Source organism: Homo sapiens, chromosome 3 (assembly GCF_000001405.40).
Source record: "Homo sapiens chromosome 3, GRCh38.p14 Primary Assembly".
Classification (NCBI taxonomy): Eukaryota; Metazoa; Chordata; class Mammalia; order Primates; family Hominidae; genus Homo; species Homo sapiens.
Window position 1 is genome coordinate 65,612,605 of NC_000003.12, and position 17,668 is coordinate 65,630,272.

Genomic DNA, 17,668 nt, shown 5'->3' on the forward strand with positions numbered 1-17,668 from the left:
TTCCCCAACACAAACTAGGTAGGGCAATCAGAACACAATTGGTGAAATTTCCTTACTTGGACCACAGAAGAAATACACACAATCCACTATAGAAGCCAGAAATTTTACTTACGTTTATTGAACACATTTGATACAAGGAAATTTTTTAAAATATATTATTTCTCATTCTCTTGACTCAAATGATTCTTGGGAAACTAAAATATCCTTTCCTCAAAATAAATAATACATGGTAAGGATACTGTGAAAACTTTCATGTGCCTTCATAAATCGTCATGGAAATTGCTTTATAATTGCAACAAATCTTGATGGAAAATGTCAGCTAAAATTATAAAGCAATTAAATAAATTAACATGACTGCCAAATAGATATATTAGTATCCTACACTCAGCCAAATACTAATCCATATGTTATTAGGAGGAGACTCTTTTTTAAAATTTAATATGTTAATTTTTAAAAATGGTCTTTAAGGTGATTGCAGGCAGAAAAATAAACCAAGAGCTTGGACTGTGGAGGTGGTTAGAACTAGGTTTGAATCTGAGTTCCATCATTATTTAACTGTGCCTCCCTGGAGATGCCACTACCTAAGCTCTCCACACCTCAAATGCTGCACTCATACTACAGAATACAGAATACAGGACTGATAACACTATGCCCTACAGGGTTCAGAGATGGCTAACACAGCTTGTAAATCACTTAGCACAGTGCCTGGTGCATACAGTAAGTGCTCAATTAATGACAGATGTTATTATTAAGTGGTGAGGTCTGATCTAACATGTTTTCACAAGAAGATTATAAATTACCACAACTCTAATTAAATTTAATCTAAAACTCCCATGGCTTTCCCTTTTCTACATCCCTGAGAACCTTACAATAAAGAACACCAGCCAAACCATGTTTATTTGAATCTATTAACAGACACATATAAATCAAGTCCAGTGTTATGAGCTTTTACGTTTGTAATTTTTTTCCCATTTTTTCTCCAATAGGACTCTATCCACTCAGCAACTATACAATGGCAATTAGGGTTAACAACGTATAATAAGAAATACAAAGAAACAGAACATTGGGGAATTAGCTGATGCTGGGAAAAGGCAAAAAATGTGCTGTTTCAAGCATGCCTATTATTGGCTAAATCATCCAATTATTAATCTTCACTATATTCTTGCCTGGCATCTAGTGTTGGGTTGTTACTCAACAAATGCCGGAAAGTCAGTTTTTTAAAACTTAGCTTGTTTAAAGAAAAAAAAGAATCTTCATATAAATAAGGCCTCAAAGCCTAAAGAGAAACTGAAAAGAGTGTTTGGGAAGTCATGCTAGAAAGGGAAGGGAAAGGGGTAAGGAAGAAGGATCAGTCTTAACAGAGGGCCTACAAAGTATCAAGCTCATGGCTGGGTGCGTCCATACTTCTTCTAAACATCAGTAAAGATAATGAGGAAACTGAGTCACAGGAAGCATGAGTAACCTGCCCAAGCCAACAAAACTGGTAAGTGGTAGAACCTGCCAGCCTCTCAGGTCCACCACACCTGAAAGCCCATCACATCTGAATGTTCTAGACTCAACAAGACAAGCGCTAATGACACACAGGGGCAGGGCATGAGTCCAAGTGTACTATGCTGAATGGGCCCTGAAAGGTGGCCTGAAGGTGCTGGAAGGGCCTTTCCAGTGGTTCTCTTTTCCATTACATACGCCATTGTGCTAAAGTAAACTAATAGTACAAATGGCTGTAAAATGCAGTGGTTTAAGATAATAACTTTGGGGTCTATCAGACTGAAATCAAACTCAGCTCTGTAAGTGTATGCACTTGAGCCTCTATAAATCTAATTTTCTTCATTGGAAAATGGATATAATAATAGCTTATACTTCAAAAGATTAAGAGGATAAAAGGAAATAATGTAAGTAATGTGTTTAACAGAGTTCCTGACACATTGGGCATACTCAATAAACACAACTTGGTTTTTTTAAAAAAAGGTATCAATTTTTAAATTAGAAAGCATGGTATCAGATAAGTTACTCAGCCTCTCTGCTCCCCCTTTACCTCATATGTAATGACAGTAATAACTACCACTAGCATCATGGTACAACTAACCAAACAATATTTGTAAAGTACGTAGGCTCTTTACTGACAAAGAGTGATGAATGCCAGCTGCCCTGTCTAGTGCAGAATTTAGAATTTCAGAGCCGATCTAAAAGCTTTAAAAAAAATGGCTCTAGATAAGCTGTAAGGAGAAGGACTGATAAAATACATAAGATCAAAAACAGAAATAAAAAAGACCCAGGCATGGTGGCATGTGTCTGTAGTCCCAGCTACTCTGGAGGCTGAGGTGGGAGGATCACTTGAGCCCAGGAGTTGGATGCTGCACTGAGCTATGATCATGCCACTGTACCCCAGCCTGGGAGACAGAGTGAGACTGTGTCTCCAAAAAAAAAAAAAGAAAGAAAGAAAGAAGGAAAGAGAAAAACCAAGCAAGAAAAAGGTAAGTAAGGTGGAGTATCAATAGAAGTAACTGACATGGACTAGCATAAACAAAGCCTTGTAATAAATGGCATAATCCACCCATCACAATGTCAGTTTTATTGCTGACAAAAGCTACAATGGAGAAAATGGCTTTAGATCTTTGTTAACAAGGGGACTGTTAATAAATCACCCCCAAAATTACACTTACCAAACCCATTCCCCAGCAAATCTCAAAACCACTGTCTTCCCCGTGAGACCCACCCAAAGATTTCCAGCAGGGATGGACAGTGAATGCACGCTTCCCTGGGATCAGACAGAGTCCCCAAGAGAAGAGGAATTGTCACGGTCAGGAATGTCCAGGTCCTTCTCATAAACTCACTAACAGGAAAACTCACTTCTCCCCTAGCAAGAGGTAAATATAGATTCCACACTTCAATGCTCCTGAAGGGGCACTGTAGAAATGCAAAGTGGTTTTCTGCTGAGTTGTCACAAATATGGGGGATGCTGCTGGCATTTATGAGGAGGGTTCCAGGGATGCTCCAAGTTCCTCAATGAATAAAACTCCAGAATAACAAAGAACCTTCCCGCTTCCCTCACCACCTTCCAGTGCTCCATCGGAGAGTCCCATGGATAAAAATGTGTTTACACTTATCTGAGCCCATACTCTAAGCTCCAAATCACATCTAAACAAAAAGTATTGTTATCTAATCCCATGATTTTTTAATTTGGCACAAAACTCCTTGCCTGGACTATTACCTTACTTCGCGAAACATAAATCATAGCTCACCTTATACATGGTGAAATAGGAAACCACGTACAAGCAGTGCAGTGATATCCTTGACACAGTAACGCCCTTGACATGGGCAATCTTGTGTTTAAAGTGATTTCTATGTACACAGTTTGTGCTAAACATTATGAGGAGTACAAAAACAAATCAAAAGCCTAAGAATTCGTTGCTAGCCATGAAAGTCCTCTGTTGGAACATCCTCTTACACAGGATAATTTGGACAGAACCACATTTAAAGTCACAAATATATGATGGACAAGGGAACCTCATACCACAATAAGAAACATTCACTTCTTTGTTCTAATGCTTGTCTTCTTAAAGGAAGCCCACTAGCAAACCGATGCATAGCAAATACGTTTCAATGGAGAAGGACAGGTGTAAGCAGGCAAGGGGTGGGTCAGTAGGTGGGAGGAGTCCCCGTATCACAGACAAGCCAAGGGCACATGGGAAAATACAGTCATGATGGGTAGAAGAGAAGGGGAGAAAAAGAGTAGAAAGCTGATCAAGATAAATGTTGTTTACATTATACGCAACAAACATCTGTGGTTAAATAGAAAAGAGATAGAGTCGAAGCGTTCAGATCCTTAAGAGTTGTACTTTAGATGAAGCCAAAGTTAGAGATGACATGATAGAGAAAGAGAAAGGGATAGAGAGAGATATCATGACAGAGGATCCGGTACACAGTAGGTACCCAAAAGCTGGAGAGCTATTGCTATTGTTACTAGTCATAGTTTTGCCACAGGCTAGGCTTTGTAAAGGCTAAAGCAATCCTTTTAGACAGCCCTTAGTTTAGATAGAGGACAAGGGCAGAGAAACAGCAATAGAGAGAAAGTTTCCAGTGACCTTTATCTCTTTATCTGATCAGTCCTATGATGCTTGCAGAACTCTCAAGTTCATGAGTTATGACCGGAAGCATTCCACCAGTGTCCAACACAACCTGAACACAGGTATGCACATTCCAGGAGACAAACTATTTTCCAACATCCAGTTCTTTATCCTGGACACTTGCTGACAAATAGGTCTAGTTCATGTTATCAGCTCTAATTGTCAAAGATCACAGGAAAAGTGGTTGATTTTAGGCAAGCCATCCTGGAAACAACTATGTTTAAGAGAAAACTGTAAGTTCAAATAGAACTAATGGTAATTTATGGTCCCATTTAAAATAATAGGCAATGATAGCAGATGCTAAAATGCCCTTTTGAATATGGCTATCTTATAAAGACCAGTATCACCTATGTTTACCACATCAAATTTAAATTGCCTTGTAGATCAAACACATGTAATCCCTCCGTAAAGTCCTTTAAGTCAATGATCAATACCTCTTAGACTGGTTACAATGGTCTCAGTATTGGGAAGAGCCTTGATGAACAAAGTGTTAAGCTGCAGAACAAAACTGACTTATCCTTTCCTCTTTTAGGTGACCTTTGCTTGAAAAGAAAGATGACAGTTGAGTCCAGAAAAGTGAGGAGGAATGGGAGGGGCATTGTACAGCATTCCAGAGAACCAGAACTACTGGATGAGTTGTATCTCGTTTTGACAGCAGCAGTATAGTAAATGACAAGCCCTGTCAGGTAATGCATTTATCTTCATGGGAAAAGCGGCCATTCCAAAGCAAGAATCTCAGATGTTGTCACATCAGCTAGGACAAGAAGTCATAAAACAAGAAGGCTATCAATGCAGGAGGTACGGTGATATCTAGACTACAATTAAGAGGAGCTGTGAACGGGCACTCCAGCTCCAAGCTCATGGGAGCTTTGACATTTTTCTTGTGTGCTTCGAGTACCAGCCAAGTAATTAGTGAAGTCCTTATCAGTCATCTATGACCCTTTTTGGGGCTCAAGACTCTGACCTTCCTTATATTCTGAAAGCGTTATGGTCAAAGCAATTCTGCTGTTTTTCTCAAATGTTAAGTAAGGAAGAAAAAAATAAAAGAAGAAAAAGAAAGAATATCTTTTTCCATTTCTTCATTTGTTCATGCGTTCAACAAATACTTATCCTATAGTCCAGGCACTAAGCTAGGAGTGGCCTGGTCACTCAGTTAGATACGCTGCCTGACTCATGAAAGTTAGAATCTAATTAGGACAGGCAGGCATGCAGCAGGCACTACAATCAGGCACAAAACAGGCATGAAGGAGGTCACGGAGTGCAGCTTGGGGAGTAGGGGGAGAGGGCAACAGGCCCAATCTGCAGAAGCAACGGAGGACTTCGTGGAGGAAGTGGCATCTGGCTAAAACTTAAAAAGAAGACTGTGAACTGGTCAGATAGATAGGCAGCGAAATAGGAAAAAATAATATGTACTCATTTATAAGAAGACACAAAGTGTGTTTGGAATATGAAGTTTGTAGGGTTGAAGCGCAGAGTGGGAGGGGTTGGGAATGTGACCAAAACTGGAGGAGGAGAAAGAGAAATATTAGCCAGATGGTTCTGAGGAATGAGAGAAGTAGGCATGTTTACAAGCATTGCAAAGGTTTTCCATAGGTACACAAAGAAAAGATCTAATGGAAAATAAGATAAACTTAGATATGCTAAGAAAATCATGTAATGATTTTTTTGAATCTGAATAATCATTATTAAAATTATATTGTACAACCAGTGAATTACTTGAACATCAGAGAGAATATACTTATTTTTAAGGTATTGTGCCTTCCATTGCTTCCAAACCCACCAGATAAAACGTCATTATTTTAAGCAACTAGAGCTCTAAATTCAGCCATCAGAAACTTTTTTTTTTCTTTTACTCTCAATAGTCTGTTTGTATATTACTCTAATCAGGCTATTACTAATAACACCCAACTTGAGAGTTACAAAGAATTGGTTTAACCCTGACAATGCTACTTGCTGTGTGACCTTAAGCAAACTATTAACCTCTCTTGAGCCTCTGTTTCCTTTAATAAGACTCACCTTATAGGATTGCTATGTGTATCTGATAAGACAGTGGTTGAGTCAGTACTACTATTTCCATTTTACTGAAGGGTCAACGAGATTCAGAGAGGTTATGTGACTTGTGCCAGGCCACACAGCCAGCAGAGTAGCCCTCAGACTTCACAACAGGCCCCTGAACTCATTCTGCATCTGCATCTCTTTTCTGTTGGGGTTTTTCTAGTGGTATTTTGAATGGTAAATATAATTAAATTTCAACTAACATGCCCTTTCTTCTTACTGTAGAAATAATAAAAGTTCTTGAATAAAGGGAAGATAAAAGGGGAGTGGAGAATAATAATAACTGTAACAAAAATAGCACTGGATGAACACTTTAAACAGGTAAGTTGTATGGTATGTGAATTATATTTCAACAACGCCGTTACAAATTTTAAAAAGTAAAATAGCAGCAGATGAGGAATGAGTAATATGGCATTTCAAATGGTACAATTTTGAGAAAGTTCAATTTTGTTGCTTCATCTTTTGGCCAGTAAAACAGGGGTGCTATTACCTGCATTTCCTTTGCCAGAGAATTAAGATAAACTGAGCCGTAAGTGGTAAAGTGTGCTATGATGCACATACAGCTCCACTACATTATGGCAATGCTAAAAATAACCTGAGAATGAAGGAGCTTTATTTCTTCATTTCCAATGACCCATGAGCCTCCTAAAATGCACAGGGAAAGATGTCTACCCCCACCACAAGCACCTGTTCATGAGGTCACCTCTGTTCAAAATACCGAAGTCAATGAAATGTCAGTGGCAGGAAGTTCTGGAATATACAGATTACACGAGCCCATTTCCCTGCAGCACAGTTACATCATCATCAAGAGAATGCATTCCCCAAATCCACGGCTTCCTAATCCATTAGCACAACAGGCTGGTGGAGAGCTTGGCTTTCTCAGTCACATGGGCCATAGAATCAAAATAAACACAAATGTGGCCAGAGTAACATAAGTCGAAAGAATCCCAAGTAAGCCCCAGTCTACTCATGTTCAAAGGCACACACGCTCCACCAGACTCCAAAACAGACCTCTTCTGAATTTCCTTCCCATTTTATGAAGAAAGTGTAAAATGAATTGTTACCTGTTTTCTCTTTTAGTAGGAACACCATTTCTGCTTTCCAAATTCCTGATTTACTGGTTTCACAGCCATAAAACATCAATGCCAAGGGGCTTTATACCAGCAAAAACAAACATGATTTTTCCACTGTTTTTAAAAGACAGAGTTCGTTTTTGCCCCAATTCCTACATAGTGGTAAGCTTAAAATCAAGCCATTTAGCTCACAGTCAGGTCCAATAAATCAGTGGAAAAAATAAATGGGAGAGCATGCCAAAATGTAACCATGGTAACACCACAGATGCATCAAGAAATGGTGTGCTCATTTGCTTCATCCCCATTTCTTAAATTGGAATCTAAGTAGGGGAAAAATTACACAGAGAACAATCATGATTCTGCAATTACTGATTTCTGCAAAATTGTATTCAACCTGCTGTACTATAACTTCAGAGGCAGCTACAGGGCACCTATGAAAACAGCCCTAGATGACATAAGAGTGAAAAAGACCAGATCTGCCACTTACTGACCCTCCCCGTGACTTTGTTTCTTCATCCGTAAAATGGGTGTTAAAGACCCCCAACTTCAAAGGGTTACTATAGGAGGAATGCCTGACAGTGCAGAAGAAGCAGGGCAATGGTGAACTCAGGAGACTCGAAGCCCTGATCACCTATGGCTTTAATTTTATTGGCTTCCTCATTGCCTCAGTTTCTTGATTTGTAAAAATAGAATGATAATCCCTGCCCTACCTATGTGATTAGCATTAGGAATTAATTATTATTAAGCCAAAATATAAGAAATTACTACGAGGTTATTACTAGGACTACAGTTTATAACTTCAATGCTAAAAGACTAAAAGAACTGAGGACCACAAGTTCACATTAACACATCATCACAACCTCCTCTCCGTCAAATGCAGCTTAGCCACTCCATGGACAGAGGCAACCTTGGGGCCCTGTCCCAAGTTACTTGCAGCAAACCTCTTCTCCTCTCATAGCCTCTGTTTTATTAATGAGTAAAATGGAAAGCCAGGGGCTATTCTAGAATCTGATCTGTGGAGGTTATCATCTAGAACTATAGTCTAAGTCCTTTAAAATCTACAGAATGCCTGAGATTAGTTCTGCTTATTCTTTTACAGAAAGAATTAGCTAATGTTTATCAGAAAACATTAGCACTCTAGCATATCATTTGCAAGTTTTTTTTTTAAAAGAAAACCATTTATAGCAAACAAATCATAGAAATAAACACGATACCTGGAACATTAAATTATTCTTCCTTTCTTTTGCTGGTTCAAAAAATGGTATGTCTAGGAAAATAAAGGACTGGGTGATAGAGAGGAGAAAGGAAAATTCTAAGTAATAAATTCTAAGTAATAAAACCAGAATCATTCTTCCCTTGTATTTTAAAAGAAATTAAACAACCAGGAACACAGTGTGCCACAGTACAGTGATACTTCACTACAACGGAGCTGCGAATTTATCCAACCATAGACAGACAGGCTGCCTTTCTTTAAAGACACTCTGCTTTCAGCATTCCTATGTTCTGTGTCTTGTTTTTTCAGATTTGGTGTAATCTAATGGTTTGGGGGTTTGGATTTTTTATCTGTGGAAATCATTTCTTTGAACAAAATTATACATAAAATCCTGACTTATGAATCTGATGAAGTTGGCCAAAAGGAGAACCCTGGGAAGGAAGACAGAGCCCACTGGGGTATTCCCTTCACTGGGGGTCTCCACAAAGGTCAGTCCGAAGGCCGCTGGCCAGGTCTACTCCATTAATAACAGCAAATGTTAACATTTATGGAGGCTCACAGCACACCATTACCTTAGAAAATGCCTTCTGTGCCTGATCTCATTGACTCCTCATAGCAGTTCCATGAAGCTAGTATTACTAACACGTCCTTTCCACTAATGTGAAAAGTGGGCCTTACAAAGGGTAGATAATTTGCCCCACATTGCAGAGCCATGACTGAAACCCAGGCACACCACGACACTGTTATTGAATTATGATTTGCTTGAGTTAAGGAGTCACTCAGTAGGCCAACCACCAGGTGTTCCAGAACCAGTTGTTGAGATCTCCTTTCTCCCCTGGACTTTTCACACACACACACACACACACACAGCAGTGAGATGCCAAAGTCCAACTACTTACAAGGCACAGCATGGCGGTAAAGGTTATCCCTTATGGTCTGCTGGAGCTCATGATCAGGAGACCCCTTCTGGAATCGCTGATTGAGAAAATGTCGCAGGTCCTTGTTCAGCCTTCCTCCTGCAGGAAATACATAAAATAGACATACCACATCAACACAGGGCCTCCTAGAAAAGAAGTAGCCAAGAACTGATTGCAAGAAAGCCACAGGATGCAGTTCTAGCCTGCCACCCCTAGTCATTAGGAGGATGTACTTTAGGTTTTCCTCTGCAGGGGTAAAGTCAAGCCAGAATGTCATAAAGATAAAACAGCACTGGCAATGCATTAATTTAGAGATCCTATCTCACATAATACTAGAAGGCCAAAATATCAAAGTGTTTAATGTAGGCTATTACATTTAAATATGTGCCATAGACACTTGCAGACACTATTACTAGAAGCATAAATTACTGAAACCTTAAAGAAGACAATCCAGCAATAACTGTCAAATCATAAAATGTTCTTTGACCAGGGATTCGAATGGTAGGAATTTACTCTACAGGTATACTTGTAATCTCTTCAAATTTCCATGAATTTACTACAGCTTTTTTTATTTTTTTAATTTTTATTTTTTGAAACGGAGTCTTATTCTGTCACCCAGGCTGGAGTGCGATGGCGCGATCTCAGCTCACGGTAACCTCCGCCTCACAGATTCAAGCGATTCTCCTGCCTCAGCTTCCCGAGTAGCTGCGGTTACAGGCACCCACCACTACACCTAGCTAATTTATATATTTTTAGTAAAGACAGGGCTTCAGAACCATGTAGAACAGGCTGGTCTCAAACTCCCGGCCTCAAGTGATCCGCCCGCCTCGGCCTCCCAAAGTGTTGGGATTACAGGTGTGAGCCACTGCATCTGGCCCTACTATAGCTTTTTTTATGACGGTAAATAAATAAAAACAAAGACCTGGAAACAACCAAAAGGGAGCAATTAAAGCACAATTCATCCATATAACAACTACTTTGCATAAGCTAGATTTTCATGGGTTGACATTGGGAGAAAATGTGTGGAACTGTGCATAATGTCTGATTCCTTTTCTGTAAAAATGAATTTGGAAAAGGAGAGACTGGGTAATACGAGGAATCATATGAAAGTTTTAACAACAGTTTCATGTACAAAAAAGGACTTGAGCTGGGGATAAATAAGTAGACTTCACTCTTCATCACACAGACAGAGAGAGAGACATAGACATAGACATCTCCCTATCCTGTGTTGCTTTTCAAACACTAAATGTATGTTGCTTTTTGGTTGTTGTTGTTGTTGTTATTGTTAAGCATAGTTATCTAAGTGAGTCTGTGTTTATTTCTTTGCAATTCTCTACACTTAAGAGAACAAAAGAAAAGCTAAAAATATTATATTATCACAAAAATGTGTCATAGAAAAGAGATACATTTGAAAAAATCATAATCACAAATTACAGTCTACAGGATCAACAGAAGGCTTGTAGATCAACCTAACTAGCATTCACTCTTAATGGAGAAAGATGCTTCAATGACAGCTAAAAATAACTAGGCTGAGACTGTCTTTCCATTTTTAGACAAGATACAAATTAGGTAAGAGCATTTTTAGCCTTAGAGAAACAATGCAGCAACCCAGGAGTCACGTGAGCTACAAAACTCATGCCTTCAAATGGTAACTTCCCTATGGTCAAAAAGAGTAAATCATGAGGATGACAGTGATGGTTAAGATGATGGTATTTCCTACCTAGGGCAGGAAACTACTGATCTTTACTTTAATATCACATTCAATATAAGATTCCAGCTACAGCTGCTCATTTTGAAATAGATAATAAAACCCAATTTGAGCTATTTTATTTGGTATTCTATCTACTGTTTCAAGTCACCGAAAGGAAAAATACATATATTCAAACCAATCTTAGGTCATTCAATCATTCATCAAGTATTTACTGAATGAAGACACCCACATGCCACATGAAGCCACCCCCCAAAAAAATCAGCACAAGGTTTGAACAGACAGTTCACAATGGAATATATGTGACTATTAAGCATATAAAAAGATGTTAGACATCATTAGTCATTAGAGGAAAAATAATAAAATCACAATGAGATCCCACTAAGTAACTACTTGAATAACAAAAAGTAAAAAGACTGAAAGTATCAAGTGTTGGCAAGGTTGTAGAGAAACAGGAACTCAAATATACTGTTTAGCAGGCATAATGGTTCGTCCTCTTAGGAAAACAATTTGTCAATATCTTAGAAAGTCATACCTTCAATAGCCAAGTGACCCAACAATTCCACCCTTATTTACATGACAGAAATGAAAACAAGTCCACAAAAAAAAAAATCTCGTAGATGAATCTTCACAGCAACTTTACTTACAAATAGCCAAAAATTGGAAACAACCCAAATGTCCATCGAAAGGTGAATGAATAAGCAAACTGTGGTATAATCAAGCACTGGGGTGTTACATAGAAATTAAAAGAAACTACTAATGCATGCATTAATACTGATGAATCTCAAACACAGAATGTTGAGCAAAAGAAGTCAGACACAAAAGATAAAATATTGCATGATTTCATTCATATAGAAAGTTTTGGGATGGACTAAAAAATTTTGGAACGGACTAATTTATAGTGAGAGAAAACAGTTCAGTTGTTACAGAGAGCGGAAGGTAGGCAAAAACTGACTGCAAAGGGCATAAGGGAATAAAATCTATGGATCTATGGGTCTTCCCCATTGGAAATTGAGAAAACAGGGTGAAGGACTTCTACATGACTTCTATACATGGAGGATTCTATACACGGGGCCTCTATATTATTTTTTATAATATCCTGTGAATATATAATATTTTTAACATCAGTTTTTAAAATGGGGAACACAAGGGAAGATTCTGGAGGAGATGCCAATATAATATTTTCTTTTTTTAAGATGGAGTCTCATTCTGTTGCCCAGGCTTGTGTGCAGTGGCACAGTCTCAGCTCACTGCAACCTCTGCCTCCCAGACTCAAGCGATTTTCATGCCTCAGCCTTCCGAGTAGCAGGGATTACAGGCATCTTCCACCACGCGCAGCGAGTTTTCATATTTATAGTAGAGATGGCGTTTTACCATGTTGGCCAGGCTGGTCTCGAACTCCTGCCCTCAAGTGATCTGCCCACCTCGGCGTCCCAAAGTGCTGGGATTACAGGTGTGAGCCACCACTCCTGGCCCCAATATAATATTCTTGATTGAGATTAATAACATTGGTTTATATATTTGTCAAAATTCACAGAACTGTATACATAAAACAAGTATGTTTTATTATATGTAAGCTATACCAATAAAATCGATTTCAAAAGTTTAAAATATATACAGTGATTGGATGATTGGATGAGTACTATGTGTGAGTCAATGTTCAGGTTGCGTAGTTCTCTCTTTAGAGAGTTGAAGTAAAGGAAAAAGAAAGTAAATCTAGGTAGTTAAGCCAGACGTGCCTACTTCTGAATCCTGGCTCAACTGTTTATTAGCTGGTGAGTCTGAGAACAGGGCTTAATCTCTGAACCTTGCTTTCCTCAACTGTAAAAATAGAACACTGATGTAATATTAGCTCTGTCACAAGATTGTTGTGAGGATTAAATGGGATGATACATTCAGACAGTGCCTGGCAAAAAGAAAACACTCAGTGAAAGATGGAAATTATAATTATGATGTTGTTGAATGGACGATTATTGAGGTGAGGGGGCAAAGAAAGAAAATCAGTTCAAACATGAACTCTTACTCTTTTTTAAAAAAATCCATGCAAACCAAATTTATTCTATTGGCTTAGAAATAGCCAGAAACAAAATATAGACCTAAGGAGATCTGGATGAAAGGATATTTCTAGTGTTTCTAGAAGTGAATAAAAATCTACCTGTGCTAAAATAGTGTGGACCTATGTAAACTCATTAATAAACATTTAGTGTGTGGTTAATGTATTCCAGGCATTGTGCTGGGGCTGAAGTTCAGGAAATGAAATCAACTAGTAAGTCACTGATATGTGATCTCTCTACCTGCTAACTCCAGCTTGAGGTATAAGGCACTCTAGAAATTGAGTAAAAAAATAATGTTTACCAGCAAAATTCCCATTGCCTGCAATGTAGGGTTTTAAATTTCTCTTAGGTGACAAGAGTTCTTGACATTAAAAAGACACTAACATTTATCATTTGAGCCACGGCAAAGACGTCTATGATATCCAAAATGCTTAAATCAAAAGCAACATTCCAAAGGAGTTTTCAGATACAGTAACTTTTTATCACATATATAACAAAGATTTGTACATCCTTATGGATCATATGTGGTAACTATCAAGATAAACCAGGGACATATAGATTGGAAACCATTTTACTTTTTTTATTTTTTTGGAGACAGAGTCTTACCCTATCACCCAGGCTGGAGTGCATTGGTGTGATCATGGCTCACAGTAGCCTTGACCTTTTAGGCTCAAGCAGTCCTCCAGCCTCAGCCTGCCAAGTAGCTGGGACTACAGGCATGCACCATTATGTTCAGCTATTTTTTAAATTTTTGTAGATACAGGTTCTCACTATGTTGCCTAGGCTGGTCTTGAACTCCTGGGTTCAAGCAATCCTCCTGTCTCAGCCTACCAAAGTGCTGGGATTACAAGTGTGAGCCACCATGCCCCACCTGGAAGGCATTCTTAAGTATAAGCTCTTGGTTTACACCTAAGCTTATATTCAAACTAGCCAAGGTAGCTAGGGTTTATGGTCATCAAACTAAAACTCCCCTCTACTGCAGATGTGCAAAAAGACAGAGTTTACTATGCTGCCAGTTAACATTTACTCTGAGTTCCATGACATTTGGACATGAAAAGTCTCAACCTTCACATTCTATTAAAAATACTGTACATTTTGGCATCTAATCTCAAATTAATTGCCAATTATTCAAGAGACATGTCTATAAATTGTCTACTAATTGTCAAGGGCAGTGAGCCAATAAAATAAGTTGGAAGACAGTTTGTCATAGCATCTTCACTTTCTTTGAAATTCAAGATTTATTTTGTAAATAGAAAAGAGAACATAGGTCAGAAACACAGTCATACACTGTATAGCAAAGTTCCGGTCAAAGCCATACTTACCATGGGTCCAAAATTACAACGCCGTATTTTTTCTGTACCTTCTCTATGTTTGCATATGTTTAGATACACAAATACTTACCATTGTGTTACAAATGCCTACAGTATTCAGGAAAGTAACATACTGTGCAGATTGTAGCCCAAGAGCAACGGGCTATACCATACAGCCTAGGTGTTTAGTAGGCCATACCAACTAGGTTTATGTAAGTGCACTCTATGATGTGTGCATGACTAAATCACCTAAGGCCACATTTCTTAGAATGTATTCCAGTCATTATGCAACAACCATGACTATATATAGAACTTTTTCCAAGAAAGGGGTTCAGAGTTTATTCTAAGACAATTTTATATTTTAACTGAGGAAAATGGGGCTTAGATGCTCTCTTGATTTGCCGTTATTTTATATTTCTGTATCTTTTTTTTTTTTTTTTTTTTTTTTTTTTTTTTTTTTTTTTGAGATGGAGTCTTGCTCTGTCCTCCAGGCTGGAGTTCAGTGACGCGATCTTGGCTCACTGCAAGTTCCGCCTCCCGGGTTCACGCCATCCTCCTGCCTCAGCCTCCCGAGCAGCTGGGACTACAGGTGACCACCACCATGCCCAGCTAATTTTTGTATTTTTAGTAGAGATGGGGTTTCACCGTGCTAGCCAGGTTGGTCTCGATCTCCTGACCTTGTGATCTGCCCACCTTGGCCTCCTGAAGTGCTAGGATTACAGGCTTGAGCCACTGAGCCCAGCTATATTTCTGTATCTTATCTATATATCTGGAATTCTGTGTCTTCTAAATTTACAGCAATGTAACTCTGCTTTTCTCACCCACATGAGTTTACAGAATGTTAAGCATGTTTGATGGATGTAGTTTTTCTTATTTTAAATGTTGTATAATATTCAATATTAAAATAAACCACAATTTATTTATCCTTCATAGAAAATTAAGCTATTTCCAATATAAACAATGCTGCTATAAATGTCATTGTAATGCCTCCCTCCCCTAATTTTTTTTTAGCAAATGTGTGGGGTTTTTCCCTCTAGATTATCTAAACCTGAAAATGGACATAGATATCTTTGATTTATCTTAACATTTCTGAATTCATCCCCAAAATGGTGGTACCAATTTGCCTTTCCATAAATAGTTTTGGTGGTCCTGTTTTCCCACACTTAGGCCAACATTGGCTATTGTCACTATTTTTCAGGTCCCCAAGACCACTCCTGATTGGATGATTCACTAGGAAGATTCGGAGGACTCGTTATATAGTTGTACTCATGGCTATGGTTTATTCCAGCAAAAAGATACAAAGTAAAATCAGCAAAGGAAAAAGTCTCACAGAACAAAGTCCAGAGAAAATCGGGTGTAAGTTTCCAAGTGTCATCTCCAAATGGCATTACACAGGACACACACACATTCCCCAAAGAACCCATATGAAAAGCTGCCCACCGGAGAAGCTCCTTAGACACCCAGGGCCCGGGAGTTGGTCATGTAAGCAGCCTTTGCCTGGCACAAAATAAATCTCCAGACTCTCGGGGAAAAAAAGCATAAATGATAGCATTTGGGCATGCAGTCTAGACATAGTGAGCCACTCTTACCAGTTATCAGAATAGAAGAAATTCCCTGAAATGCAAGTTCCCAGATGCCAGCCAAGGGCCACCTTAGCATTCCATCCAGCTGCCACTAACTCTTTTCTGCACATTCCAACTTTATAAATGTTTCCCAATCTACTAAAGATAAAATGATATCTTGGTGTTATATTAATTTATAATTACTGATTACAACTGAGAGTGAGCATTCTATTATAGTTTTTAAATTGTCTTTTATGTTTTCCTTTCTGTGACTTGCCTGTTCACATTTCTTATACGTTTTCCTATTAGGTTATCTAGTTATTCTTGATAAAAAGATATTCTTATATATTCTAGATAGGGTTCCTTTAGCACTTATTTATGGTATAAATTTTTCTTGCCATTATTTAAACATGAAATGATCCCCTAATATAACTAAGTTGTGTCGTGTCTCTTTTTCTGTTACATACCAACTCTTACCAGAAGCATCTTTTCAAGGTGATGGATGATGAGGGGACCCTGCTTGGACTGATCTCTATCTCCTAGGATAGAGATCTGAAAAGGAATGTTGCTCAGTAGAAAGAATCTTTGTGGTCAAGAAACCAGGTTTCCCAAGAGAACACTTTTGAGTCTTCTTAATGTATCCATCTGTGACCGAGAGGGCAGAATACAATTCCCTGTGTGTATTCCATGTGCTCCACAGCTACATCCACATCCAGAAGGTCAAAGAATGGTATTTCATTACAATTAGAATTGACACTTTAATACAGTTCAAATTTTCAATGCTAAGGAGAACCTGCATAAGGATTTTGAACTAATCACACTTTCAGGTGATTCTGCTTTAGCACACAATTTCTTCAAAAAAATGATTATAGTTGTAGGAAAAGTCCATTTATTAGGACAACAACAAATGGTATGTACTGCAGTGGTGCTATTACAGCAAAAAAAAAAAAAATCCATCAGTTCAGCACTTCAGTTTTATAAAGAATAGGATTTTTTAAACACAAAATTATAAATTGAAAAACAAATTAGCTTGTTTTATAGTCACTCAAACTTACAATCCAAAATTCATTTAAGTGAGCTTTATCTGAAAAGGATGTTTGCTACTTGCTTTTTCTAATATATTTTTCTATATTTTTTTCTTATTGTAAAAGCAATATAAATCACTGGAGAGTTACCCTTTAATGGGTGCGGAGTTTCACTTGTGGATGCTGAAAAAGTTCTAGAAATGGATGGCGGTGACGGATGCACAACAATATAAATGTACTTAATGCTACAGAACCACATACTTAAGAAAGGGAAAAATGGTCAACTTTATGTTATATATATTTAACCACAATGAAAAAGCAATATGAATTAATCACAAGATTTTAAAAATACACAAACGTACAACAAACAAAGTTAAAATCACCTGTGACTTCATTTACAGCACAATTAATATTTTGGTACAGTGTCCTCTGTATGCCTATGTACCTATAAACATACATGCACACTTATAATACACTTAAACATTTGGGGAGTTTCATTCACTAATTCAACATGTATTTATTAAGTGCCTAGAGCTAAACACCCTGTGAGCCCTGAGGATGCAACAAGGACAATACAGAGCCCCTGAGCAGCAGGGTATATGCCTGCTTTAGGAAGGACGAACA

General features: G+C 38.2%; 1 protein-coding gene across 6 annotated transcripts in view; it reads right to left on the reverse strand.

Annotated features, from left to right (window-relative positions):
* Positions 1 to 17,668, reverse strand: part of MAGI1 (membrane associated guanylate kinase, WW and PDZ domain containing 1) — a 685,393-nt gene that overhangs the window by 259,079 nt on the left and 408,646 nt on the right. For all 6 annotated transcript variants that reach the window (NM_001033057.2, NM_015520.2, NM_001365904.2 and 3 more), the window contains exon 2: positions 9,368 to 9,484. In NM_001033057.2, coding sequence (NP_001028229.1) covers positions 9,368 to 9,484 — 117 coding nt within the window. The remainder of the gene's footprint in view (positions 1 to 9,367; positions 9,485 to 17,668) is intronic.